General features: G+C 46.7%; 2 long non-coding RNA genes across 3 annotated transcripts in view, besides 2 other annotated features; one reads left to right on the top strand and one right to left on the bottom strand.

Annotated features, from left to right (window-relative positions):
- EPCAM-DT (EPCAM divergent transcript) overlaps nt 1–27,133 on the top strand; it is a 152,670-nt gene that overhangs the window by 96,360 nt on the left and 29,177 nt on the right. The gene's annotated exons all lie outside the window — the stretch shown is intronic.
- Nucleotides 4,353–4,853: an enhancer, noted in NCBI's record as "H3K4me1 hESC enhancer chr2:47471001-47471501 (GRCh37/hg19 assembly coordinates)". NCBI's record gives its function as "activates a minimal SCP1, AML or CMV promoter by ChIP-STARR-seq in naive H9 embryonic stem cells {active_cell/tissue: H9 hESC(naive)}" and the evidence as "EXISTENCE:reporter gene assay evidence [ECO:0000049][PMID:30033119]".
- LOC124907763 (uncharacterized) lies at nt 8,710–21,798 on the bottom strand. The gene is made up of 2 exons (XR_007086311.1): nt 21,701–21,798; nt 8,710–9,982 (listed from the first exon to the last, which is right to left on the bottom strand). It is a non-coding gene; the product is annotated as an uncharacterized LOC124907763 (long non-coding RNA).
- Nucleotides 9,298–10,052: an enhancer, noted in NCBI's record as "H3K27ac-H3K4me1 hESC enhancer chr2:47465802-47466556 (GRCh37/hg19 assembly coordinates)". NCBI's record gives its function as "activates a minimal SCP1, AML or CMV promoter by ChIP-STARR-seq in naive H9 embryonic stem cells {active_cell/tissue: H9 hESC(naive)}" and the evidence as "EXISTENCE:reporter gene assay evidence [ECO:0000049][PMID:30033119]".

Raw genomic sequence — 27,133 nt, 5'->3', positions numbered from 1 at the left:
TAGCTCTAGTCTTCTTGGGCAGGCAGGCACTTAGACAAAACCTTAGATCACCGAGGCATTAGATGGACCCTTCATCTCTTCATCCGTGGCTCCATGTTTCATCCATGGTCTTCCTGTTTCTCACTTGGATTTCCTCAAAGTTTATGTCAAAAGAGGTCAAGGGCTAGAAATAAAAAAGACAAGAAGAGGCCCAACATTCACCGAAGACTCAAGTTAAAATGAAAACTGGGGCCATGCAGTGGCTCACGCCTATAATCTCAGCACTTTGGGAGGCCTAGGTGGGAGAATTGCTTAAGCCTAGGAATTCAGGACCAGTTTGGGCAACATGGTGAGACCTCATCTCTACAGAAAAATTTAAAAATTAGGTCGGGCGCGGTGGCTCCATGCCTGTAATCCCAGCACTTTGGGAGGCCGAGGTGGGTGTATTACCTGAGGTCATGAGTTCAAGACCAGCCTGACCAATATGGTGAAACCTCCTCACTACTAAAAATACAAAAAATTAGCCAGGCATGGTGGCGGGTGCTTGTAATCCCAGATACTTGGGAGGCTGAGGCAGGAGAATCACTTGAACCCAGGAGGCAGAGGTTGCAGTGAGCCAAGATTGTGCCATTGCACTGCAGCCTGGGCAACAAGAGCAAAAACTCCGTCTCAAAAAAAAAAAATAAATAAAAATTAGCTGAGCATGGTGGCTGGCACACACCTGTGGTCTCAGCTACACTGGAGGCTGCGGTGTGAGGATTGCTTGAGTATGGGAGGTTGAAGCTGCAGTGAGCTGTGATGGTGCTACTGCACTCCAGTGTGGGTGACAGAGCGAGACCCTGTCTCAAAAACACAAAACAAAACAAAACAAAAAACCCAGAGCAAAGGAAAACTCATGCTTCAAGTTTTGGCATCCAAGCATAGCCTGATGCCTCTATTTCACATTAGAAATGAAGTTTGTGTTGGCAATTCAATGTGTTCTCCAGAACAGCCTTCCTTTCCAAAGAAGGACAATTGGAGACAAACGTGTTGGGCACCTTCAGTGTGCAAGTCTCTGTCCCAAACAGTCTGATGTGATCCTGAGCACATTCCGAGGAGACCAGACCCTCCAGTTCTACTTCATTGAGGAGAAACCTGAAATTCCCAAAGGTTAAGAAACTTGAGTAGCAAAGCCAAGATGTGAATCCAGGCCTTTTTGCCACCAAAGTCCATCTCTTTCCATTACCCAACATTGCCTGCATTTAAACAGTAGCTCTTAGGGAGCATTTATTTTGGGAGCAACCCTGTCTAATCCCCACCTATTTCTCATTGCCTGTTCTTCTCCACCTGTCCAAGTCCTGCCCTTCTTTGAAGACTTAAGTTCTACTTCATTCCTCAAGACTTTTCTAGACAATTTCAGCACAGAGTGATCTCTCAGTATGGGATGAATGATGTGAGCAGATATTAGGTATACAAAGGGGAGGGCTGCAATGGACACTTGATTTTCACCCAACAGCTAGTTTCCCATTTATTGTTGTCTAACAGATCCTGATTTCTGATTCCTTTGTAACTAAGTGGGCACTGACCCCATCACAGTTCTAGGAGTGGATGGAGCTTGGTCTAAACCAGTTGCAGAAATGTTAACCCCCTCACCAGTGGTCAGGCCGGGAATGGTTTTATAACCAAATTCTGGCCAGTGGAAAGAGACCATCTTTCCTTCTTGAGTGGGATGGTTCCATGTCTAGAACTGCTGTGGACTTCCTGCCACCCAGCTTGGGGGTGAAGCCCACATGAGGATGGCGGAGCAGCAGGGAAAGGAGTCCTTGAGGTGCCGTATCAAACACCTCTGGCCTGCCCTTCCTCTGAACTCTGCTGAGACCTGATACACTTCCTTGCAGCTAATTCCAGTTTGAGTTCAGGGTTTTTTGTTACTTGCTGACAAAAACATCACAGCTGCTACTACACTCCCTGCTTTAACACACAGTGTTTGTACTGTTCTCCCTGACACTTACCACCTTGTCATCTCTATTGTATTGCTGCTGTGTTGTTATTTAACTTTTTCTATGTTCATATCTTGTCTATGAAGTTGACGTCAACTCTTCCAACTCATAGGAATATTTTCTGAATTCTCATAGAGCTCTCAAATAGCCGTCAAATCTGTCATCCCTTCATTCCAGAAATATTTATTGAGCTCTACTATGTGTAGGAACTGGGGATATGCAGTGAGGAAGGCAGACATGATCCTACACCTACGGATTTGAGAGTCCTCGTGAGGAACTCAGATGTCAATAAAATGACCTCAGGAATAAGCCTGGAATGATGACTGGGAAGAGTTATGAATGAAGGTACCCAGCGCTATCCTAAGGCACAGTAGGAAGATCTGCCTTGACCTGGGGGTCAGGGAAAGTATCCCAGAGAAACTGAGATCTGAAGGATGTGTGAGAGTGAACTGGGTGAAAAAAAGAGGGAAAATGCATTCTAGGCGGCAAGAAGAGTATGTCCTCTCCTCTTCATCCCGGTGGCCACTGCCTCCATCACTTTTGACCAGACCATTCTTATTGCTTTCTAACTGGCTGTCCTGCTTGCAGTTTCATTCCCCGCAGGTCCATCCTCCTTCCAGCCATGAGACTTATCTGTGAAAACCCTTCGGTGGCCCCCAGCCTCTACTAAGAGAAGGTCAATTTTCTTTCTCTCTCTCTTCTCTTTTCTTCTCTCTCTCTTTCTCTTTCTTTCTTTCTTTCTTTCTTTCTTTCTTTCTTTCTTTCTTTCTTTCTTTCTTTCTTTCTCTCTCTCTCTCCTTCCCTCCCTCCCTCCCTCCCTCCCTCCCTCCCTCCCTCCTTCCTTCCTTCCTTCCTTCCTTCCTTCCTTCCTTCCTCTCTCTCTCTCTTTCTTTCTTTTCTTTTTTTATACAGGATCTCGCTCTATCTCCCAGGCTGGAGTGCAGTGGCACAATCTCGGTTCACTACAACCTCCGCCTCCCAGGTTCGAACGATTCTCCCACCTCAGCCTCCTGAGTAGCTGGGATTACAGGTGCATGTCCCCATTCCTGGCTATTTTTTGTATTTTTAGTAGAGACAAGATTTCGCCATGTTTGCCAGGCTGGTCTCAAACTCCTGGCCTCAAGTGATCCACCTGCCTCGGCCTCCCAAAGTGTTGGGATTACAGGTGTGAGCCACCACGCCCGGCCAAGGTCAATTTTCTTAACAAGGCTCTTCATGATCCCATCTCTAGTCACCTCTCTAACCTTATTTTCTGCCTCTCCCTGCCTCTGAGAACTCCCTACCTGTGATTCTCAACCACACTAGGCCATCAGATCTTTTCATAGTGTCCTCTCTGCCTTGAACATCCTTCCAGGCATCTTTGGCATGGCTGCCCTGATGCAGCACAGGCGTCACGTCACCTGGATTGGCCTCAGTGGCCCTTCTCTGTGCTGCCACTGCACCTTGTACATATCCAAACTGTCTGTTCATGGGTGTCTCCCCAATTAGAACTGAGCATTTCCAGTGAAGGGACCATGTCTCACATATCTTTGTATCCCTTAGAACCTAGCACAGCCTGGCACACAGTATGCCCTCAGGAACAATTCGTTAAACTATATTTCAGCACTTACTGTCTTGCCAAATAATTTGGCATTGCTCATGTTCCATTTGACTGTATTGCATTTCATTGGCTCTTTCACGTGTGCTACCATTGACTGCTCAGGTAGATCTTAAGTTCCTGGAGGCCAAACCGCATCTTACATTTCTCAGCAGTCCTCAGAGAATTGAACATTTGTCCCTAAATAAGCATGCAACAAGTGCTAAATTAATAAAGATTTCAGGCTGGGTGCAGTTGCTCATACCTATAATCCCAGCACTTTGGGAGGCCGAGGCGGGTGGAAGACTTGAGGTCAGGAGTTTGAGACCAGCCTGGCCAATATGGTGAAACACCATCTCTACTAAAAATACAACAACAACAAAAAATTTGCCGGGTGTGGTGATGCGTGCCTGTAATCCCAGGTACTCAGGAGGCTGAGGCAGAAGAATTGCTTGAACCAGGGAGGAGGAGGTTGCAGTGAGCCGAGATGGCACCACTGCACTCCAGCCTGGGTGACAGAGTAAGACTCCATCAAAAAAAAATTAATAAAGATTTGAAAGCATACATGAATGGATGGAGTTAAATAAATAGTTAAACATATTCCTTGTACCTCTCTAGTAGGGAAATTACAAACGAGTCCTCTTGCTGCCAAGATTCTTGCAGGCAGGCCTTGGGAGGAAAGGCATCTTAGAAAAGTGAATATCCACAGGGAGAGGGGGTCACTGAGCCACCCCCTTCCCTCCCCAATCAGTGCCCTGACACCTTTGCTGCTCAAGCTGCCTTCATCCTCCTGGATGGGATGGATCCTGAGGGATCCTGAGGGTTCCTAGAACATGTGGTCCTGAGCTTTTAGAAGGAGCCCACCATTCCCTCCTCCCTGATTGCACTGCTCGGCAGCTAAGTAACCCTTGTGGATTACGGCCCAGGAGCTCCGGCCCTTCTCTTCTCCTGCCGTGATGGCTTCCTCGGCCCAAGAGACCAGATGTGCTCCTGCTAGTGGTCTGGAATTCCTCTCTCCTGTCGATGCAGGCTCCTGGAAGGTCTTGAGAGAGGCAGAACTCTGGAGAGATAATGCAGGCTGCTTACTCACTCCTGGGGTCTAAACTCTGGAAACACTGAGCAGGCTTGGGCCTGAGGTAGTCCAGACGACAGCCAGCAAAATTTGCTGAGGGTTTGCTGAGTGGGCTGAGTTAATAGCGTGGATCCTGGGAGGCAGGCAGGGAGCAGGAGCTGAGGAAGGGAGCGGGGAGTCCTCTGTGAGGTGTCCCCCTTAAAAATCCATCACCCAGGCCCGTTTGCAGATGGGACGAGGCCTTGCCTGCTCCAGGAAGCAGAGAGAAGCCCTGGCAGAGGCTGCTCAAGTGCCTGGACCGGCACCTGGTCTTGCGTGGACTTGGACGCTGACCCTCAGCCAATCCCAAGTGTGACTGGGCTGTTGCTTTCTGTTTCTGAGCTTCAAAGTGTTGCAGAGGGACAGGATAACATGGTCTGGTACAAAATGAAAATGTGGGGTCCCCTTTTCCAAAATTATTAAGAATTTACTATATTTTTTAAACTTTTGTTTTAGTATTTTAGTTTTTTTTTAAGTATTGCTTTTTATTTTTCTTATTTTCCAGAAACTGCTAAACAGGAGAGTATTAAACCAAGTGCAGGGCTCGTCTAAGCTGGAGCTCACCCATCCATGAAGCCGGCCCTGCAGAGGGGTTACATGAGAAAAGCATGAGTGGGAGGCTCTCACCTGTAATCCCAGCACTTTGGGAGGCTGAGGCGGGTGGTTCACTTGAGGTCAGGAGTTCAAGACCAGCCTAGGCAACATGGTGAAACCTGTCTCTACTAAAAATACAAAAATTAGCCGGGCATGGTGGCACATGACTTGTATAGTCTCAGCTACTTGGGAGGCTGAAGCATGAGAATTGCTTGAACCTAGGAGGCAGAGGTTGCAGTGAGCCGAGATCATTCCACTGCACTCCAGCATAGGCGACAGAGCAAGACTCTGTCTCCCAAAAAAAAAGAAAAAAAAAAAAAGAGGGGCTATAATTCGGAGAACCTGGCGCAAGGCAGGTTTTCCTTAGCACCAGCACCTGCCCTCAGGTTAGCCCCTACCGCATACCTTAATAAAAGGCAGAAACTTTATATTTGTAGGGGAGAAAAAGTTACCTTTCCCTCACCCATCACAAGACTCATCGCTACTGCTCCTATAACAAAAAAACAGGTTAAGGAGAGAAAAGGACCACAAATGTATTTAACCAAAGTTGTTTTATTCTGTTTTTTTTTTTTTTTTTTGAGATGGAGTCTCATCACTCTGTCGCCAGGCTGGAGGGCAGTGGTACGATCTCGGCTCACTGCAACTTCCACCTCCTGGGTTCAAGCAACTCTCCTGCCTCAGCCTCCCGAGTAGCTGGGATTACAGGCACCCGCCACCTTACCTAGCTAATTTTTGTATTTTTAGCAGAGATGGGGTTTCACCATGTTGGCTAGACTGGTCTTGAACTGTTGGCTAGAGTGGTCTTGAACTCCTGACCTCAGGTGATCTGCCCACCTCAGCCTCCCAAAGTTCTGGGAATACAGGCAAGATTGACTTCCTGTGTGTGGTATGGAATGAGAATGAGTGAGGCCGCAGGACCTAGAGTCTAGGTTGGCGGTCAAGGCAAGGACATCCCCAGGTGGCTATTTGTCCCAGTGCCTTTTGGTTTAAGTTAAGGCATGTAGGCAGCTCTCTTTAAAAGTGTAATTCACCTGATAACCAAGGAAGAGATAACACATTTCCTGCTTAGTGGATGAGATTCTACAGTCTCTTTGCCAAATAAGCCTTGAAGGCAGGTAATTCAGAGCCAATATGGAGTTTTAAAAAGTATTTGGACAGCAAGATTTTATTCAAATAAAAAACATATTCTAATCTGAATAGAAAAACTCAATTTTGTAAAAGTTGAAGGGTGGCAGAATATGCCACCTCAAAATATCCTCCTTTGGCATAAGGGTTATTTTGAGCCAAAGGCAAATGAAAACCAGCAGGTACCGGAAGGGCACTCTGATCACTCCTTTTGCTTTCTGAAAGCAAGAACAAAAGCCCCATATGAAAGATGTCCTCCTTACACCAGGAGGAAAGCAACATTCTTTTTTAAAAGAAATTTTAAATAAAAAATAGAGATGAGGGTCTCCCTATCATCAGACCAGGCTGGTCTCCAACTCCTGGCCTCAAGTCATCCGCCCACGTCGGCTTCCCAAAGTGCTAGGATTACAGGCGTGAGACACCACGCCAGCCAGAAAGCAACAGTCTTATCACCAGGGACAGGGAGAGGAGGCTGAGAGGGATCTGTACAAAGTGACCTTGGAAACCAACCTTCCTCTTCCCAGTCACTGCTCATGATCATCTTTCCCAGCTCGAGCCCCCTTGCCTTGTCACATTTCCATCATTTACTTTGTGAAACTCTTTGTCCAACTCAGTATATGAGTGTTTGACTCTAAACTGCTTCTTTGGGTCTTCATTTCCTTATGAGGGCTCCCATCTCATGTAAAACTTTTTAAAATAACTATGTTTCCTTTCCTCCTATTAATATGTTTTATGTTGATTTAATTCTTAGGCCCTGTTGAAAACCCTAGGAGAGTAGAGGTAAATATTTTGCCTCCCAAACAAGGTAAAAAATTTTTCCCTAAACTAATCTATTAATTTGGTATAGTCTCAGCCAAATATCAACAGGATTATCTTTGTTTTGAACTTGGCAGAAATGGTATTAAGATTGATTTGGGACTGGGAGCTGTGGCTCACGCCTGTAATCCCAGCACTTTGGAAGGCCGAGGCAGTTGGATCATTTGAGCCCAGGAATTTAAGACCAGCTTGGGCCACACAGTGAAACCCCATTTCTGCAAAAAGTAAAAAATTAGCCTAGTGTGGCAGCACGTACCTGTAGTCCCAGCTACTCAGGAGGCTGAGGTGGGAGGATCACCTGAGCCTGGGAGGTTGAGGTTACAGTGAGCCATGATCTAACCCAGGTACCAGGGCAAGAACCTGTCTCAAGAGAAAGAAAACAAACAAACAAAAATAACAAACAAACAAAAAGGATTTATTTGGAAAAATAGACATGGGAGGAGGATCAGGGAAATTTAAAAATAAATAAATATTAAATGATAGAACCTTAGATATTAAAGCATATTTTAAAGGGCACATAAAGGGGTTCCTGGGACCCTAGGTGGGCCTCAATTCACAGGGGTCTTTGGGGGTTGCCATAAAACTCTGCTCCAGCAAGGTAAGACTCACTTAAAAAATCATACCGGTTCCTGTTGCCAGTCCTCTCCCATCACCCTGAAGGCTGGAGAGTCATGAGGCTATACTTCCCCCATGCCCACCCATGCCATTTCCATCAGTATGAGCTGAGCAGAAGGTCTTAAACAGGAAGGCAACGTGGAGCTTATATACACGTCTTGGGCTGTCCAGGCCCCTGGCATGGGATTTCTTCTTTCTATTGGTTATTACTTGGGTCCTTGTACTTTGTCTTCCTTCAGTGTCTCCATGCAAAATTCAAAGCATTAATTTAGGCTGGGCGTGGTGGCTCACACCTGTAATCCCAGCATTTTGGGAGGCCAAGGCAGGTGGATTACCTGAGGTCAGGAGATCGAGACCAGCCTGGCCAAGATGGTGAAACCCCCTCTCTACTAAAAATACAAAAAATTAGCTGGGTGTGGTGGTGGGCACCTGTAATCCCAGCTACTTGGGAGGCTAAAGCAGGAGAATCACTTGAACCCAGGAGGCAGAGGTTGCAGTGAGCCGAGATCATGCCACTGCACTCTAGCTTGGGCAACAGGAGTGAAACTCCGTCTTAAAAAAAAAAAGCATTAATTTAAAGGACAGAGAACAATTAGGGTCAAAATTTGCTTTAGAGGGAAGTTTAGTTGGTGGAAACTGAGTGTGATGTTTCTCTGGGTGTTGGTGGTGGTGGCTTGCCCTACCTCATCCCTCTCCCCAGCCCCTCTCATTCCACAGATAACTGAGAGTGGGGACTATTCCAGAAAGCAGTGGAGATCCAGCCGTGTGGATATTCTTATTCCTTCCCACAGCCTTCCCAGCAGCCCTGGACTTCATTCCCAGAAGGGGCACCTGTTTTACTTGCTTCTCTATCAATTTGCTTTGGGAAAAATGGTTTGCAATTGAGTGTTTGAAGCAAAATCCCACAACAGCAGTTTTTCCCCTTTGCAGAAACCACTCTTTATTTTGGCAAACACTGGGTACTCAAAGCAATTTGCCTTTTGTCTAAACTGAAAGCAGAGATGTTGTTGGGCCTGAGGTGGATTTCTAATCTTTCCCTGCCTCTGACTAAGGACCAGTGGCCCTTGTCCTGGATGAAGTTATCGCAGGGGTCTGGGAGAGAAAGACCAAATGTGCACATGGCATCAGCCCTGCCCCCAGGAGGAGCTGGAGTGGGGTCCTGTGTGTTGACACTCAATGGCTGAGACTTAGATCAGCCATTACTGCAGACAGAGTCGCTTCTTTTTTAACACTGTGGCAGGAACCAAAGCGCAGGTTCATGCAGCTCAAAGGCAGCAGGGGCTGGAGTTCAGGGAATCTGGTTTTTAATGGGGCCCCAGAACAGGTCTGCAGCACTGGCTTCCTGGGAGTTTGAGAGCTGGGAGCCCTCCACCCAGCACCACACCCCTCCTCCCAGCCCCCTCGCCTGCTGCATTGCACCACTGATTTAGTGAAGACATCATCCTCACCCCCTTCTCAGAGCTGCTCGCTGCTCTGTTCTGACAATTACACTAGCTGCTGCAGAGAAGTGCTCATCCCCACCGACATATGGCTTTTTAAAGTGATAAATTGCATTAGCAAATTTCTTATTAGCTCTGCTGTCAGGAGGGATCTCCTGCCATGTTAGCTTGCTGAGGCTGATGCATAACTTCCTGACCGTTAATTACCATGCCAAGGGCTAAAGGGACTCAGCAGCGGGTAGGTGGATAAGTGGAGGTCCTGTTCTCTCTTCCCCTCTCCATGGGAGGTCAGGAAGGCTTGGCTCAATGGCCCTTAAACTGTCTTTGGTCTGGTTCTGCAGTGAGCTCTAGCCTTTAGGCTCCTGATCTTCGTGGGTAGGGCACAGGATACTCAGATACCATCTGGGCTGCTTGGGGTTGGGTTTTCCCTCAGGTCCTTCAGGACTTGGCAGCTTGAATCTGCACAGCATCTCTTTTGGAGCTGGATGTTCAAGACAAACCCTGGACTGGGTCCTAGAAAGGTGCTCTAGCCTCTCTTTGGGGGTTCAAGGCCAGTGATCCTCCTCATTCCTCCTCTTCTCATGCCAAACAGCTTGAAGAGCCTCCTCCCCGAAGGTGACATCATGTCTCTTGCTTAGGTCTTTTCTTGGTGGCTCTCCAAGGAACTGCATATTCAGGATGTTCAATCCCAACTTCCATGGACTCAGGCTCTCCTTTTATACAAGAAATTGCATAAAACTCAAAGTCACTGGGGAGCAAAAATGAAAAGAGAAACATTTTAATTTCTTGTTTTACCTACTACACAAAATGAGTAACCATTTTGAGGGTCTCTGACTTCTTTGAGAATCAGACAAAAAAAATTGATCCTCATCCCCAGTAAAAATGCACATACAAATTTGTGCATTCAGTTTCAGAGTCTTTCCAGTCTCTCTGCAGCCCATTTATGAATCCACGTTTTATAGGTGCCCTTTCCAACACCCTCTGACTGCCCCCCCTCCCCCGACCCCAACCCCCACCTCAAGCAGCTGATCCCTGGGAACTGACCATATCAGCGGCCTCCTGCCACAAGAAATGAGTTAGTCTGAAGCAGCAGAACCAGCTCCCCAGGGCAACCCAGGGCACAGTTTGGGTGAAGTCCACTAGAGGCAATTGCATTATTTCTTGAGTTACATTAGACATGGTGAGACAGAAATGTGCTCAGCGTGGCAATGACTTTGTGGCCAGGTCTACATTAACTACTCATTCTGAGAAACCAGTTCTTGTGGCTGGGAGGCTCCTGTAGTAGCATTTTCTTGTCCTGGTGTGCTCCTGCTGAGAAGGGAGGTGAGGGAGGAGGAGGAGGAGACTGCAGCAGAAAAAGAAAAGATTCTGAAATGGGTGCGGGGGAGGGTATGTGTGTGTGGAGAAAGGCAGAGAGAGGGGGTGGGGACGAGAACTGAATTCTTCATTATTCAGCCTAAGGATGCTTTAGATGGAATCTGAAAAATTTGTGAGGATGAATTTGCACTCTTTAAAACACGTGGCCTCAAGTTCTGTCTCATCTTGAGCTTTGGCTAGGAGTGATGCTCTGCTCTGTAAAATCAGAAAAACACTCTCCTTTCTTGTCACTTCTAGGCTAGGGTATAAGAAATGCCCAAAGGAGGATGGAAAAGTGGAAGGAGGTTCTCTAAGTGAATGAGGTGGTCACAAAGTTATTCGCTATCACCCCAAATTGTTTCCATGACTCCCTGGCGGAAGCAAGAGAGAACTACTGCAATAAGACCAGGCCCAGCACGGGTTTTTTGGAGGGATGGAAGGCGCTGATAACCAGCCCAACACAAATTGCCTCTTTCTCTGAACTTCGGGAGCGTGTGTTGCCTTTGGCTTAGGTCCCAGCGCAGCCTCTGCACTACAGCCCAACCAGGGCCTGTCCTCATCAGCCCCCTCTCCCTCCTACCTCCAGGTTGGTGCAGTCATGAAGAAGCTGGGCTCTTGCTGCAATCCTAGCCTAGCATTTCCCTGCCACGTTTCCCAAGTGTCCTTCCAGGACTGACCTGCTTGCCATCCCCTGTAGGCTCCAGCCCATTTGCTCCAGTCCTGATGTTTGGCTCATTTTTTTTTTTTTTAATACAGACAAGGTCTCATTTTGTTGCCCATGCTGGTCTCGAACTCCTGGGCTCAAGCAATTCTCTTGTGCCGGCCTCCCAACATGCTGGGATTATAGGCGTGGGCCACTGTTCCCGGCCCCAGCTCATTTTTGAGGAGGGGAGTACTTGGACTTTCTAGGTCTCTGCCTCAGCCCTTTTTGTTTCTCCAGCTCCCATGGTCCAGAGGCTGGGGCATGAGAAACCACCTTGCCAGCACCCGACCTACTCCTACTTCATTCTCAGGACAAACAGCAATCTAGCCACTGATGGGGAAAATAGCAGAGATGTTAAAAGGGCTCAAGATTCTGTGACTCAGATGACTTGTGCTGACTTAGTTTTTCTGAGGACTCATCAGGTCAGGGTTTAGCTATGTCTTCTCCCTGCCCATGGAGGACTGTCCTAGAGATAGATGGCCCTGCAACAGAGGGGTTGGTTCAGAGAAAGAGGGACCCTGTTGGCTGCCAAGAGGATGAAATTCTGCAATGGCTCATGGGTGAAGGGAAAGGAATCTGTCCCTAAAAATGTTCTCTAAACATCTGCCATCTGTCCTGTGTGGCCTTGGCATTTCCTCCTTGCCAGCTCTGGGACCTGGGACTACTCCCTCTGGCTGCCCCATGCTGTGCCTCTCACTGCTTATTCCCTCTGGAATCAGCTCAGGCTTTGTCTGATGTCCAGGGCTCTTTGCCTGGCTGTTGAGGAAGAGCAGCCTCTGTGGCCCAGGAATGTCATCGCATGGGACATTGTTCTCTAAGAACTTAACTTACTTTCAGGAAAGGGTTTGAAATGGGAGAAATTGACTATCTCCCCCAACTCCCTGTCCTGAGACCCCTATATCCTTACCAACTGTAGCTCCATGGAGAGGAGAGGAAACAAGAATTCACAGAAGTAAATGACCATCACAGCCCCCAAAAACACAGCCAAGGCCTAATTCCAAAGCCCTTCTCTGCTCACTGTATTAGGCTTCCTCCAGCAGTCCTGAGTCCTCTCTCAGCGGGGCGATCCTTCTCACCCCTGGAGATATTGTTCAGAAGCACATACGTGCCTGATGGGGTCAGGGCTTTCTCTTTGAGGAAAAAGGTTTAAGTTGGTATGGGAGGATGCAGAAAGCTCTCTGAGTTCCAACACTCCGGCCCAGAAAGTACCCTATCCTGCTGTTCACAGGGTGATCACCCCAATATTACCATTTCTGCCTAGATGGGAGGCAGGAGAACCATCTCTTCTGTAAAGCAAGAACTCTGAAAATGCCCTGACACCAAGTTCCCCCAGTATTTCTCCCAAACCCCAGGAAAGAAAACTGTGGTGCCCACCTCAGCCTCCCAAAGTGCTAGGATTACAGGCGTGAGCCACTGTGCCTGGCCTTGAGCTGAGTATTGAACAATAAAATTCCAACTTCACCTTGGCCTGTAAGTCTTCCTGTCCTCCTTCACTCCCTGCCCAGCCCATTCTGCTCTGAACAAACTCAATCTCATGTTTCTCCAGCCCACTCAACTGGTTCCTGCCTCAGGTCTTTGCAAGTGCCTGCGCCTCCTTCTGAAATGCCCTTCCTCATATCTGCTCATGTCTGGCCCATCACCTTTCAGGTCCCAGGTCAAATGTCATCTCTTCCAAGAGGGCTTTCCCTTTTGTCCCTACTCAAGCAGCTTCACCTCCCCCATCGCTGTCTGTCCCATTTCTATATTTTTGTTTTGTCAGAGCACCTATGACTACGGGAAATTATCTTTTATTTATGTATTTGCTTACTAGACGACTGTGTCTCTCCACTGTTCCCTCCTCCATTGCTCCGTGAGATGAGACCCTTGTCCTGTTCATTGCTGTTTCCCCAGTGCCCAGAAAGATACCTGGCTCACAGTAAAGGTGTGTAATCCATATTTGTTGATATCATGGGGAATTATTACGATCTGGAGGCCAGAGCCAGAGAGCCCATGGGGTGGAAGAGGGAAAGAGGACACTTGGCCCCACCCTTTTCACTATCCTTCTAAAGCTAAGTGGATAAAGTCCAAATGTGTTATCTGGACATGCAGAGCCCCAGTCCATCCACCTTCCTAGGTTTATTTCCTGCCAGCCCCTTTGGTCCTCCATTGAATGTGCCAGCCTCTCCAAACTGCTAAATGGTCCTGATGGTTCAAAGTTCTTTCACATGTATTCTTTGCACATGTTCCTGCTGGAATGCCATCAGTTTGGGCAATTAGCAGTTATGGTATCTCCTTTTGGAGTGACGGTGAGGATTAAACGTTGTAGTACAGAATAAGCTCCTAGCACAGTGCCTAGCCAGAAGTCAGTCCTCACTGAGTGTTGGTTAGCAGCCCTCCCTTCCTCTCTGCAGGGACTGCATCAGCACAGGGGGCACCTTCTCTGTGAAGCTTAGACCTAGCACTTCATTTGCGGTCTCCACAGTTAGAGACCTGTTAGGGGGTCTGTTTCCCTAAGCTGTCTCCCTGGGCAGAGACATCTGTATCTCTTTTGTGCTCACCATGATGGCTGACATATAGTAGATGTGAAATGTGTGTCCGCTGAAAAACTGGAACCGAGGTGGGTCTGTGACCTGTGAAGCAATGGGGTCTGGCGGGGGTGGAAGCCTTGTTGGTCTTCTCAGACCCAGAACACATATGCCTGCTGACCTCATTGAGAAAAAAAGGTCAGTGTCTGCATCCTCCTGTGGCTAGGAAACCAGGAATGGGGAGGCAGCCTCTCTCCTGCAGCCTAATCAGCCATCTGGGTACACCCAGCCATGAAATTAGAGTCTACATCCTAAGCACCACGGCCATATCCAGTTTTCCATCGATGAAATATTTAGCCGCTCTACAGCCCCAGTCTGTTCTGTGTCTGAAAGGGAGGGGCTCCTCCCCCTCCTCCCTGCAGATGCCACCTCTCAGTTCCCTGACCAGGCCTTTTGCTACCCTACTGCTGTGCCTTTACTAATACGATGTGTGTCCCACTCCCTCAAATCAGGAATGCCTTCCTCCTCCTAGTTGACTATCCAACTCCCCTTCCCCAAGGCCCATCTCCTCCGTGAAACCTTTGCTAGAAGTGATTTTTCCTTCCCTAGACCTCTGACCTCACCTGAACAGCAAACTCACACTTCACAATCCTGGCTGGGTGGAATTAATTCTTAACTGGACCCATTGTCATTCAAAGGGGATGAAGACCTTTGACTCAAAATGATGGCTTAGTGCCGCTGTGGATTTTCCCTATGTAAATTGGGGTGCGGCTGGGGTGCTTAGTAGAAAGTAGGAACAGGAACTTCCAATGAAAATGCTTGAGGGGACTTTCAGGGACCTCTGCCTGTCCTGAGCCCCTAAAACAAGGACCTTGACCAAGGACCATTCTCCAGTCCTGCCCCTACTCCAGACCAAAGACCCTGAAGGAGCAGGGCAGGACAGGGGAATGTTTGGGGTCAACTATGCAGTATTGTCCAGCCACAATGTGTTGCCTCCCAGATGCACGGTGACTGCTGCTTAATGTGGTGAGTTTGGGTATGTTGTGAAGTTGCCAAGTAGCACAAAGCAATGAGCTGAGGGCAGCACACAGGCTGATTTCTGGGAAGAAAGGGCATCAGCATGGGGCCCTTTGGCCAACTCTGTATAATCAGAGAAGTAGGGCCTTGCTTCATGCTTCTTGAAATTAGGTGTAAATAAGATATGAAATTGGATGTAAATAAGATCAAGTCTGGCTGGGCGCGGTGGCTCATGCCTGCAATCCCAGCACATTGGGAGGCCAAGGTGGGCAGATCACTACAAGTCAGGAGTTTGAGACCAGCCTGGTCAACATGGTGAAACGCTGTCTCTACCAAAAATATAAAAAATTAGTTGGGCATGGTGGTGCCTGCCTGTAATCCCAGCTACTTGGGAGGCTGAGGCAGGAGAATCTCTTGAATCCAGAAGGCAGAGGTTGCAGTGAGCAGAGATCATGCCACTGCACTCCAGCCTGAGTGACAGAGCCAGACTCCACGTAAAAAAAAAAAACCAAGATCAAGTCTAGTTTTTATACACATTATTCAAAAGATTTTGACCAAATGGTTCATACAAGGCAACACTGGCTGGCCCATCACCGGCAGGGTGGTGTTGTGTGGAGAACAGGCATGGGACCCGGATTTGGAGTTAGGCAGATGGGGCTTTGAATCTGGGCTCTGCTATTTACTCAGCTGAGTTGGCCACAGGCCAGACCTTGACCTTCCTGTACATCAGTGTATACATGAATGTTGCGTATGTAAGCATGTGTGTGTATAACGTATTTAGCTCTATAAACACAGCCCTTGCATTTTTCAAGTATTCTTTATGTGCTTAGCACTGTGGCGGGCATTTTATTTTCATTACCCTCATTTGGTCTTCATAACAACTCTGGGAGGAAGACATTATTATCCCCATTTTGCAGTTGAGCAAACAGAAGTTTAATAGAGAGGTTAAGTAACTTGTCATAAGACACATTTATTAATGGGTAGATTTATGATTCAATGTCAGGCTCCAAAGCACAGTGAGATCCCGCATTCCTGTGTAGTGGGAATGAAATATTTCCCTCTGGGGTGTCTGATGAGTAAATGAGGTAATCTGTATGAAAGAGTCTTGTAAACTGTAAAGCGCTATTTTCCAAAGGTGAAGCCTCAGTTCTTGCCCTCAAGGACTTTATAATTTGACTATATTGATTAATAAGAGTTGCATAGTGCTTTTAAGCAACCAAGTGTCGAAATGCAAGTGTGCACCTTAGCCTAGTGATCCAATGTAGCATCACCACTGACAGGACACACAGACATGGTGCACCGCCTGGTATGATGGGATACCATGGGAAGGCACAGCCTCACCTTCATGGCATGTTCGTGTTCAAATGTATTTGACCTGAATCAAATCAGACAAATCCAGATTGTGAGACATTTTACAAGGCAACTTATACCTAGGCTCTTCAAAAATGTTAATGTCGTGAAAAACAAGCAACCAACAAAGGCGGGGGGACTGTTCTAGATTAGAGGAAACTAAAGAAGCATGGTTTAAAGTCTTTGCTGTATACCAGATTGTTTTTTTCTTAAAGTCATATCCCAGTGACTCAGGAGGCTGAGGCGTTCAAGAGGAGTTCGAGACCAACCTGGCAACACAGTGAGATTCCATCTCTAAAAAAATTTTTGAATTAGCCAGATATGACAGTGTGTGCCTTTATCCCAGCTACTCGGGAGACTGAGGTAGGAGGATAGCTTGAGGCCAGGAGTGGGAGGCCGCAGTGAGCTGTGATAGTGCCACTGCTCTTCAGACTGGGCAACAGAGTGAGCCCCTGTCTCTAAAAATAAATAAGTAAGCCATAAAGGATATTTTGGGAGAATTGGGGATATCGAAATATATTTATTACATTAGCTAATATTATTGTATGAATGTGAAATTTATTGGATGTGATGAAATTGTGGTTATAAGAGAAATTATAAGAGGAATGCCCTTGTTCTTTTTTTTGAGACAGGATCTCACTCTGTCGTCCAGGCTGGAGTGCAGTGATGTAATTATAGCTCACTGCAACCTCCAACTCCTGGGCTCAAGCAATCCTCACCCTCAGCTTCTCCAGTAGCTGGGACTACAGGCACGTGCCACCAAGCCCAGCTAATTAAAAAAAATTTTTTAGTAGAGATGAGGTCTCACTATGGTGCCCAAGCTGGTCTCAAACTTCTGGCCACAAGTGTTCCTCCCACCTCAGCCTCCTGAAGTGCTGGGATTACAGGCATGAGCCACCACACCTGGCCTGTCCTAGTTCTTAAGTGTCATGATATCTTTGAGTTTCAAATGCTTTAGTAAATGCATATATATGTATGTGTGAATATATTTTTATATTCACATATTTTATATTTTTATATTCATATATACATATATATGGAAAGAGAGAGAAAGAAAGCAAGCAAATGGTGAAATGTTAACCCATGGTGAATATAGATAAAGGATTTACTGGTTTTCCAGTATTATCCTTTTAACTTTTTTCTAGGTTTAAAAATTTCCAATAAAAATTGAGAAGTTTAACAGAGTTTAACAGAGAGAGCAAGTAACTTGCCACAAAACACAATTACTAAACGGCACATCTGGGAGGCAACGTCTGTATCAGTGCTAAGGGGCAATGGCTATTATTTAAAAATGGCTATTTAAACCTTCCTCTAGGTTTAAAGGAACCTAGAGCTGGCCAGGCGTGGTGGCTAATGCCTGTAATCCCAGCACTTTGGGAGGCCGAGGTGGGCCGATCACTTGAGGTTAAGAGTTTGAAACCAGACTGGCCAACATAGTAAAACCCCGTCTTTACTAAAAATACAAAAACAAGCCTGGCATGGTGGCACATGCCTGTAATCCTAGCTACTCGGGAGGCTAAGGCAGGAGAATCGCTTGAACCTGGGAGGCAGAGGTTGCAGTGAGCAGAGATCACACCACTGCACTCCAGCCTAGATGACAGAGCAAGACTCCGTCTCAAAAAATAAAATAAAATAAAAAATAAAGGAACCTACAGCTGAACACTTTTATCATATAAAAAAATCTTCACCAAACTTACTTGTTTGCCACACTTCTAATAAGTAGGAAAATGCAACAGAGGCCCCACATGATCCCAGGGTCTCAGGCACTTTCTCGACTCTTCTAAAGGAATGACTCTAATAGTTTTTCATCAGGGCTGCTTTCCCTTTGGCTACAGCGTAGTCAAAATAATTCCTGCCCAGTTTCTGGGTTCCTAGGAGACAAAGCTTAACATCCTTGCCAAGAGTGGTGAAACCTCTGTGGCCCTGGAGTTTCCATGGTGCAAACAAAGTCCTGGCTCTACCCACAGGCCACGCCAGCTGCACAGGAGGGACAAAGATGCAAGACCTAGCAAACGTATGTGGGCCATCATCAGTCATCTAGAGTGCTTGTTTAAAATGCCCCATCCTTATGGTGGCTGAGTCCTGGGAACCTTCTTTTTGTTTTTTGAGACAGAGTCTTGCTCTGTTGCCCAGGCTGGAGTGCAATGGCACGATCTTGACTCACTGCAACCTCTGCCTCCTGAGTTCAAGCGATTCTCCTGCCTCAGCTTCCCAAGTAGCTGTGAATACAGGCACCTGCCACCACACTTGGTTAATCTTTTTTGTATTTATATTTATATTTATTTATTTTTTTTTGAGATGGAGTCTCACTCTATCGCCCAGGGTGGAGTATAGCGGCACTATCTCAGGTCACTGCAACCTCTGCCTCACAGGTTCAAGTGATTCTCATGCCTCAGCCTCCCAAGTAGCTGGGATTACAGGCATGTGCCACCATCCTTGGCTAATTTTTGTGTTTTTAGTAGAGACGGGGTTTCACCATGTTGGTGAAGCTGGTCTTGAACTCCTGATCTCAAGTGGTCCGCCCACCTTGGCCTCCCAAAGTGCTGGGATTGGCCAGGCGCAGTGGCTCACCCCTGTAATCCCAGCACTTTGGGAGGCCAAGGAGGGTGGATTACCTGAGGTCAGGAGTTCAAGACCAGCCTGACTAACATGGAGAAACCCCATCTCTACTAAAAATACAAAATTAGCCGGGCATGGTGGCACATGCCTGTAATCCCAGCTGCTTGGGAGGCTGAGGCAGGAGAATCGCTTGAACCTGGGAGGCGGAGGTTGCGGTGAGCCGAGATCGCGCCACTGCACTCCAGCCTGGGTGACAAGAGTGAAACTCCGTCTCAAAAAAATATAAAAACCAAAGTGCTGGGATTACAGGTGTGAGCCACTGCTCCCAGCTGGGAACCTTCATTTTAACCAGCATTCCTCTGCAGCACACTAAAGTTTTGGAAGCAACAGTCTAGACTAAAATCCTAATTCCTAAACCTAGCGTTCGAGGTCTTGCAAAGTTTGGCTTTCCTTACTCCTCAACAAGTACCTTCCCCTCCAGCCAGGCTGAAGGGTTCCTTAATGTGCCTTCTAGCTTGTGTCTGCTCAGGCCTGCCCTTCACTGGCATCTTTCCTATCTCTCCTTAATCCACGTGATGCCAACTCAGCTTCAAGACCTAATTCAAGTCCCATCTGCTCCCAGCAGACTTTCTGATCACCCCAGCCTCCCTCCCAGGGGTTCCTTCCTTTCTCTGATTTCATTCAACATTAAATTGGTGGCATGCAGTTTAATACTTTATGATATACTATTCATTGTGGTTTTTCACTTGCTTTGATTGAGTTAATGGCATTCTCTTGCAACCTGTGACATCCTCTAGGGCAGGAATCACATGTTTCTCTCTTGCACCCTCCTTAGTACCAAAGACACAATTAAAGTCCCAGGTAGATCCTGAGAACCAATTTGCTAATAACTGAATTGAGGAACAGATGGGAGACAAATTGGGTGAAAAAGGGCGGGAGGGAAAGAGAAGAAGAGGATTGGCCATGGCCGTGTGTGAAGGGCATGGGACATTTTGGTTGAGGCTGGGATCCTAGGCTCAGTGGATGGGTGGAGTTTGGGCGACCACCCCGCCCCCGCCACCATAATTATTTGCATTTGGGGCTTGGCTGCTTCAGGGTCTCTGCCCCCACATAACAATTTGCATCCATAAATTTACATGGAAGTGAAGGAGCTTCCTGAAAGAAGAGACCGGCCTCTGTCGCCTCTCCATATTCCTCCCTTATCATTCAAAGTCATGTGTGGTGAACATGGGGATAGAGGTGCAGGCGGTAGAGCAGGACGTAGAGTCATACGGCTGCACCCCTGAAGGATGCAGCTTAAGGGAGGATGGGAATGCCTGGACTCCTTCCTGAGGCTCTCAGTGATTTTAGTCCCACAACTCCATGGTGGCCTATCTACCCCAGATTCTCCCTCCGCAGACATCTGCCCACCTATGCTTGAAGCAGTTGAGGCCAGCAAGTAGGGCTGTGTGGAGAGGGGACACCATGGATATTTTCTCATAAATGTAAATGGGACATCCCTTGTAGGCTCAAGAAGATGAAGCTGCCACATTCATGCTGTTCCCAGATCCCCTACTGCAGTTCCCTCTGCCTGGAGTGCCCTCTCCTCTGGCGGCTGCCTGATAAATCTTTGGGGATGGCCTGGCTGGACTCCCCAAGGCAGACTAAATTCTGCTTCCTGTTCTCATAGTCCTGCTTGAAGGCCTCTGTGAACAGCTCAGACTCCCCAGTAAAATAGGAACCATGACCACTCTCAGGGTGGTAAAGAGAAAACAAGATAATACAAGGCAAAACAAAGGGCTTGGAATTGCTTCTTTACTCCTATCTCCCCGCATTTCGCTGATAAGGCTGGTGATTCTGGACACTCTAGTGCTGGATGGGAGCATTCCGAGGAGAGGAGGCTCCAGCCCTGGGGATGCTTCTTGGCCATGAGCTGCCTGTCCTCGCTCGGACAAAGGAAGTACCCAACCTTAACATCCACGGGAGAAAACCCAAGGCAGCAGATGGAAGAAGAGCTACAAAGATAGCAGTCATTGGAGGAACAAAGAAAGGTCAGTGACCTGTGAATTATAAGGACAGTCCGGACACAAAGAGCCAGAAACCACAGTGGGCTCCTAATGGAAGAAAAGTGAAAGAAAAATCAATGGTGTGGGGAAGCTTCTCCTCCCATCTTTCAAATGGCTGCAGAAGGAGGAGGGGGAGGAAGAGCTCTGAGCTGGGAATATATTAGCTGCCTGATCTCCATCCTGTTACCAAGGGAGTGGAGTCCTTGTCCCCAGAGGCCTCTCAGGAGATGGTAGATAATTACATATGGGTCTCTGGTTTGGTACAGCTCTGTCTCAAGGCAAGGGATGGAATATATGACCCCTTCAAGCTTCTCTTATCTGTACTGGAGCAGGTTACCACGAGACAAAGAGAATTCAAGAGGCTGTCACATAATTATTTGTGTTGCATGCTTCCTTTAGCTTTTGAGAAATCTCGGAACAAAATCTTCAGCGCTCAAGACCAGAATGAATTTGGTGGTTTCACGACCCACCCCCTCCCATCTTTTATTTAAAATAATTAAAAAAACTCCAATCTCCTGAAATTCTTAAGACAGAAGAAGCTTTAGAGTCGACAAGAACGAGATCTTTTGCTTTCATTAGAAATGTCTGCATTTCTCTCTGGTTAAAGGAGGGTGGGATATATTGGAATATTAATGAGGAGCATTTAGATGAGGCTCTTAATTTGAAAAGAATATGAGAATTAATGCTTGAGTTTAATTGGAGCCTGAATCATCACAGATAGATTTTTACCCTCTTCTCCTTAATCAATTTCACCCTAATTAATTCTTCTGTGGCTAAGTCTTGTTACATTAGATAGTCTGCTGATTATTTCCACAATCAAGAGACTGTATATTCATGCATTTTTAATAAGGAACGACTGCATCCTTTTTCATAAGTGATCCTGCCGGTTGGCGGCTGCAGCCACTAAAATAATTATAGAGCAGATTACTTACTTTTAAAGCATTGTTTGCTGTCATATTCATCCTAGGTGACAATTTGGGAGAGCTCCGGAGGCTGCTGTAATCGCGCAGAGGAGCTGGGTATTTAATGTAGCAATTTTCAATGTCAAGTGCTGTTTATTCATAGGTCATTGCCTTTTTTTTTTTTTCTAAATAAACACAGGGGTAATTTGGTCTTGCTGACTGATGAAGTCATGTACTAAAGACTGGAAGGCCGTTCTAATTGTATGCTTAGTTTAAAACCTTGACTCTTGGAAGGACCTGCTTCTGAAGGCTGACTGGCACCTTCTGCCTCCATCTGTGACTGGCTCACATATGGTTGTACATGTCTGATTATTACTTATATGGTGGGGTGCTCTCATGTCAGACCCTGATATCCTTGCAAGCTTGAAGGCTTGAAGCAAGGCACACAGCAATTCCAAAGCTTCAGCTGTTTATTGTTTAGCAAGAGGAAGCGGGACAATCCACCTAAGGGAAAAGACTGCTTTTTGTTTTGGGAAAAACACTGGGCTTTTTCGTTATGCAGAGGAAAGGCTCAGAGCTGATTCTGGAATGGACAGGTTGAGACAAGAGGAAATAAATGGCTCTGTATGCTAATATAAATGACTGTCATGTGGTTAGTGGCAGACAGAGCTACCCCAGTCACCTGAGAAGAGGGGAGACTTCCTCTTATCTCTTGGGTAAATAGAAAGTTGGGACCTGGACGCCAGAGAGGAGAGATCTGGCTGAAGGCCTTCCTCTCTGTGGAAGTTAAGTGAGCTCTGCCATTAAATGGCAGGCCTGACAGGCCTGGAGGGAAAAGGCAAGCAGGGCACCCCAGGCCATGGGCCAGTGGACTCCAGGAGAGTTCATAGGCAGCCTCCAACTTAACTGGTTTTTTTTTTTTTTCTGTAATTATAACTCTCTTTTGCCAGCCCCAATAACTTCAGCCTTGAAGGTGTTAACCTTACAATCTTGGAAAAACAAGAGATCCCGTATCTGTGCTTGGAACAGAGTGTGAAGAAAGGGAGTGTGATCTTCCCTGAGACCACCACCCACCATCACCACCCAAAGCCTGCTCAAGAAAGCATTGTGGTCCTGGAACCCATGTGAGGGGCCACACATTGGCCTTGGGAAGGAGGATACTCACGGGATCCATACAGAGGCAAAGGCTCAGGCTAACGCCCAGCTCAGGTGGACAGGTGTGGAAGTGGACTGAGACAAATTCCTTCCTCATCTTCTGGAGAGAGACCTTCAAAAGGAGAGACTACAACTTGCAAAGCACACAGGCATGGGTTATTGGCTAGCAGCCAACTGGGCCGCCCTTAATAGACATTGCAGTTGGCCAGAGACTCAGAGGTTATCCTGTCCCCCACCCCCTCTTTGCTCTCCACACCAGCTGTTCAGGGAAAGAGCCCAACTGTGGCAACCGCCAGCTCATTTCCCAGGAATGCCACCGCCAGCTGCTCTGCAGAACCCAGGGCCAGTAACTAGTGGCCTCATTGAACCTTAGGTCATTACTCTGACCCCTACTGCAGATGACGAAACTGAACATTTCTGGTACGGTTACTCTCTAAAGCAGCGTCCCTAAGACCACTGAAGGAGTTGCAAAGATTGGAAGGGCAAGACCTGAGCAAGTGTTTGGCCATACGGTAAATATGTGTCAAGCTGCTTGGGTGTCCAGAGCCAGCCCCCTAACCCCTATTTCACTGATAGGAAACCTAGGCCCAGAGAGGTAATTGGTCAAGGTCTATTGATCAGTGATAAGTTCAGACCTTGTGTCCCACGTTCCACAACTCCCAATCCAATATTCTTTCTGGATAGCCCCTCCCTTGGGTCACTTTCTCTTTAGCTAGACAAAAAGGACATCCTGCCAGCTTGCCATGTATTTACTGTGTGGCCAAACATTTGTTCAGATCTTGGCCTTCCAATCTCCTCAATTCCTTCAACAGTCTTCAAAACATCTCTTTGGAGCATTTCGCTATAGATAGCAACTGCACTAGAATTTTTTAGCTTCCTCATCTGTAACATGGAGATAATAATAGCAGTTATGGCATCGAGATAATTCATGTAAAGAACTTAGAACAGTGTGTTCTTTCAAGCACATAGTAAGTGCTTGATAAATGTTTCCTCAAAACAGGGGTTATGTGAACCCAAATCTCTGTCATCACTTATGAAAGGCTGAAACAAAAGGTAATGCCCAAAGGAGGCTGGAATCCAATGACAGTCATATTAGAGTGGGGTGTTCCTTGGGGGAGGCATTTTGATCTCTAATATTGTATCAGTCAGTAAGTGGTCCCAGAAGCTAGGAGAGGAGCAGCAAGACTCTTATAGCCTTTGCGTCACCTGCCCTGGCCAAACCTTGATGCACGATCCAGCCTCGAGGCTGGGATGCTACAGGAGATGGGGAGAGGAGCCGGGTGATTCACTTACAAATTCATATAAACCGCCCTCCATGGGCTGTTTTGGACTGACTTATCAGGTTCAGTTCTGCAGCTTCCGTCCTGGGTTTGGTGGCCGGGGAGTCTCGGTCAGCCTGGAGGACCCCAGTAAGTTCAAGGTATAGTACTGGTGGGAGGAGAACCTCCATTTCCTCAGAATACCAGGAAACTCTTGGACTACATGTAGGAACCAATTTCATTTTTTTCCTTTATTCTTTGTTCTCCTTTCCTTCATTTTCTCCATTCCCCTAATATTTTTAAGTCCCTCACCCACATCCTAACCACAGCAGTTACTATAAAAAATAAAATCAGACTAAAGGGAAGGGGATGGTTGATGAAGCCATCTCCATGGGCTGCTGTTCTATATGTGTAACTCTTATCTCCCTTAGTAGAGGGGAAGTCCTTAGAACAGAGGCTATATTTTGCATTCCACTGGGGCTCTGTCACCTCAATGTGTTCACGGAAAGTAGTAAGTACTTATGGAGTAAAGTTAAATGTTCTAGTATAGAATTTTATTTTTAGGGAGAAGTCCTGCATGCTAATGTGACACTATTCCCTTTTGGACAGATGGGGAAATTTAGGCTTCCAGTAATTTAGAGAACTGGTACACACTCACAATCAGGGCTGGCCTGCCACTCTTCTGCTTACTTCAGGGCCCTTATCTCCCGAGCTGCCTCTAAAACATGTCTAAAACATGTTTACTTTTTAAATTTTTTTAAACAGGATCCCCCTCTGTCGCCCAGGCTGGAGTGCAGTGGCAGCACCATGGCTTGCTGCAGCCTTAACCTCTTGGGCTCAGGTGATCCTCCCCCGCCAGCCTCCTGAGTAGCTGGGATTCCAAGTGCATGCCACTATGCCTGCCTAATTTTTTAAATTTTTTGTAGAGACAGGGTTTCACCATGTTGTCCAAGCTGGTCTCGAACTCCTAGGTTCAAAAGATCCTCCTGCCTTGGCCTCCCAAATTGCTGGGATTACAGGCGTAAGCCACCGCACCCGGCCACATTTACTCCTTATGGCTTGTTTCGAAAGCTCATTTTCAGGTTTGTCTGGGATTTGTATCCCAAGGATCTACTGTGTGTCCTAGGGACACACAGCTGTAAGGTAAGATAAGTGGCATCCACAAGAAGGCCAGCTACTGAGGATATCGGGTTAAAGGCACTAAGGAAGTAAATCACTTGGTAAGTTAACTTAGAAAGGCCAAGATGTTAAACTCTGAGCCAACCAGGATTTAATTTATTTGTTATTGAGGTTAATGTCATTTTTACTGCATGCTAATAAAAGCCTGAGCTCTGTTGCCAAGATTCAAGAGAAATCTTAGTTATCATTTTTCCCTCCATTGGTAAGAAAATGGACTGTCAAATTTGGGAAGGCTGGAAGAAAGGGGATAAAGGAGAACATGGGGAACATTTCTCCCCTCTGCTGGTCTGCAGTCTGTTTCCAAGACAGGAGGAGTCATGTCATCTTCTCTCATCAGTGTTGCAGCTGCCTTCGCCTTAAAAGAGTTTGCTCTGGGAACAGAGATCTATTCCTGGGGCCAACTTCTCCTCATGGTTAGCCTGTTGCTTCGGACCATGCTATGGTTTGAATGTGTCCACTCCAAAATTCCTGTTGAAACTTAATCCCCACAGTGGCGGTATTAAGCTACCTCTGACAGCTATTGGATGTGTGACTTCAGACAAGTCACTTAACCTCTCTGGGCTTAGTTTACCTTATCTACAAAATAAGAATGCCTGCCTTACTGACCTCATCCAGCACCTCATAAGAGCAATGCCATGTTCATTCATTTAACAAATTCTTTTTTTTTTTTTTTTGAGACGGAGTCTTGCTCTGTAGCCCAGGCTGGAGTGCAGTGGCGCGATCTCGGCTCACTGTAACCTCTGCTTCCCGGGTTCAAGGAATTCTCCTTTCTCAGCCTCCCGAGTAGCTGGGACTACAAGTGTGAGCCACCACGCCCAGTTAATTTTTGTATTTTTAGTAGAGATGGGGTTTCACCATGTTGCCAAGGCTGGTCGCAAACTCCTGAGCTCAGGCAGTCCACCCACCTTGGCCTCCCAAAGTGCTGAGATTACAGATGTGAGCCACCATGCCCGGCCTCATTTAACAAAATCTTAACAGAAATCTACTCGAACTAGATCCTAGGGACACAGCTGTAAATAAGACAAACTCAGTTTCCACTTTCTTTCAGCTTACACTTTGGTAGGGGGATGTAGGCAATCAAATAATCATTGAAGTAACCGTGTGTCCTGGTTATTTATTGCTGTATAAAAAATCATCTCAAAATTTGGTGGCTTAAAACAACAATCATTTAATGGGGATTGACTGGACCCGAGGAGGTGGTTCTTGTTCAGCGTTTCTCATGCCATGGCAGTCAGACAATGGCTGGGGCTAGAGCCAGAATCATCTCGAAGCCTTGCTCACTCACATGTGTGGTGGTGGATGCTGGCTGTCAGCCAAAATATCTACAATGTGGTCTTTCTATGCGACTTGTGCTTTCTCCCAGCATGGAGGCTAGTTTCTAAAAGCAAGCTAGGCAGAAGTGTGTGGCATGTTTATGATCTAGCCTTGGAAGTCACATAGCTTCACTTTTGATGTATTCTGTTGGCCAATGCAGTCACAAAGCCCAACCCAGGTTAAAAAAGAGGGAACATAGACCCCACCACTCGATGGGTGGAGTGTCAACATCATGGTTCAGGAAGAGCATGTAGGATGGGAAATATCATGGCAGCCATCTGCAGAAAGTACAACTTGCCACACTATGCATTACATGTATAGCGCTTAGATTAGTGCCTGGCACTTAAAAAATATTCGTCAAAGTGTTAACTATTTGCTTTTAGATGCTTTGAAGGAAAATCAATATGATTTCTGATAGTTCCTTGAAAGTCCAAAACTTTATGCAAATGTGAGGGCTTTAAAATCTGTGTTTCATGGTACCTTAGTCATTTTAACCGTAAGCGTCCCAAGAGTGGAGACTATGACTTTTCACTTTTTCTGGATTATTTTACCCTTT

Source organism: Homo sapiens, chromosome 2 (assembly GCF_000001405.40).
Source record: "Homo sapiens chromosome 2, GRCh38.p14 Primary Assembly".
NCBI lineage: Eukaryota > Metazoa > Chordata > Mammalia > Primates > Hominidae > Homo > Homo sapiens.
Note: the sequence above shows the minus strand (reverse complement) of the source record. Positions and strands in the feature narration are given on the sequence as shown.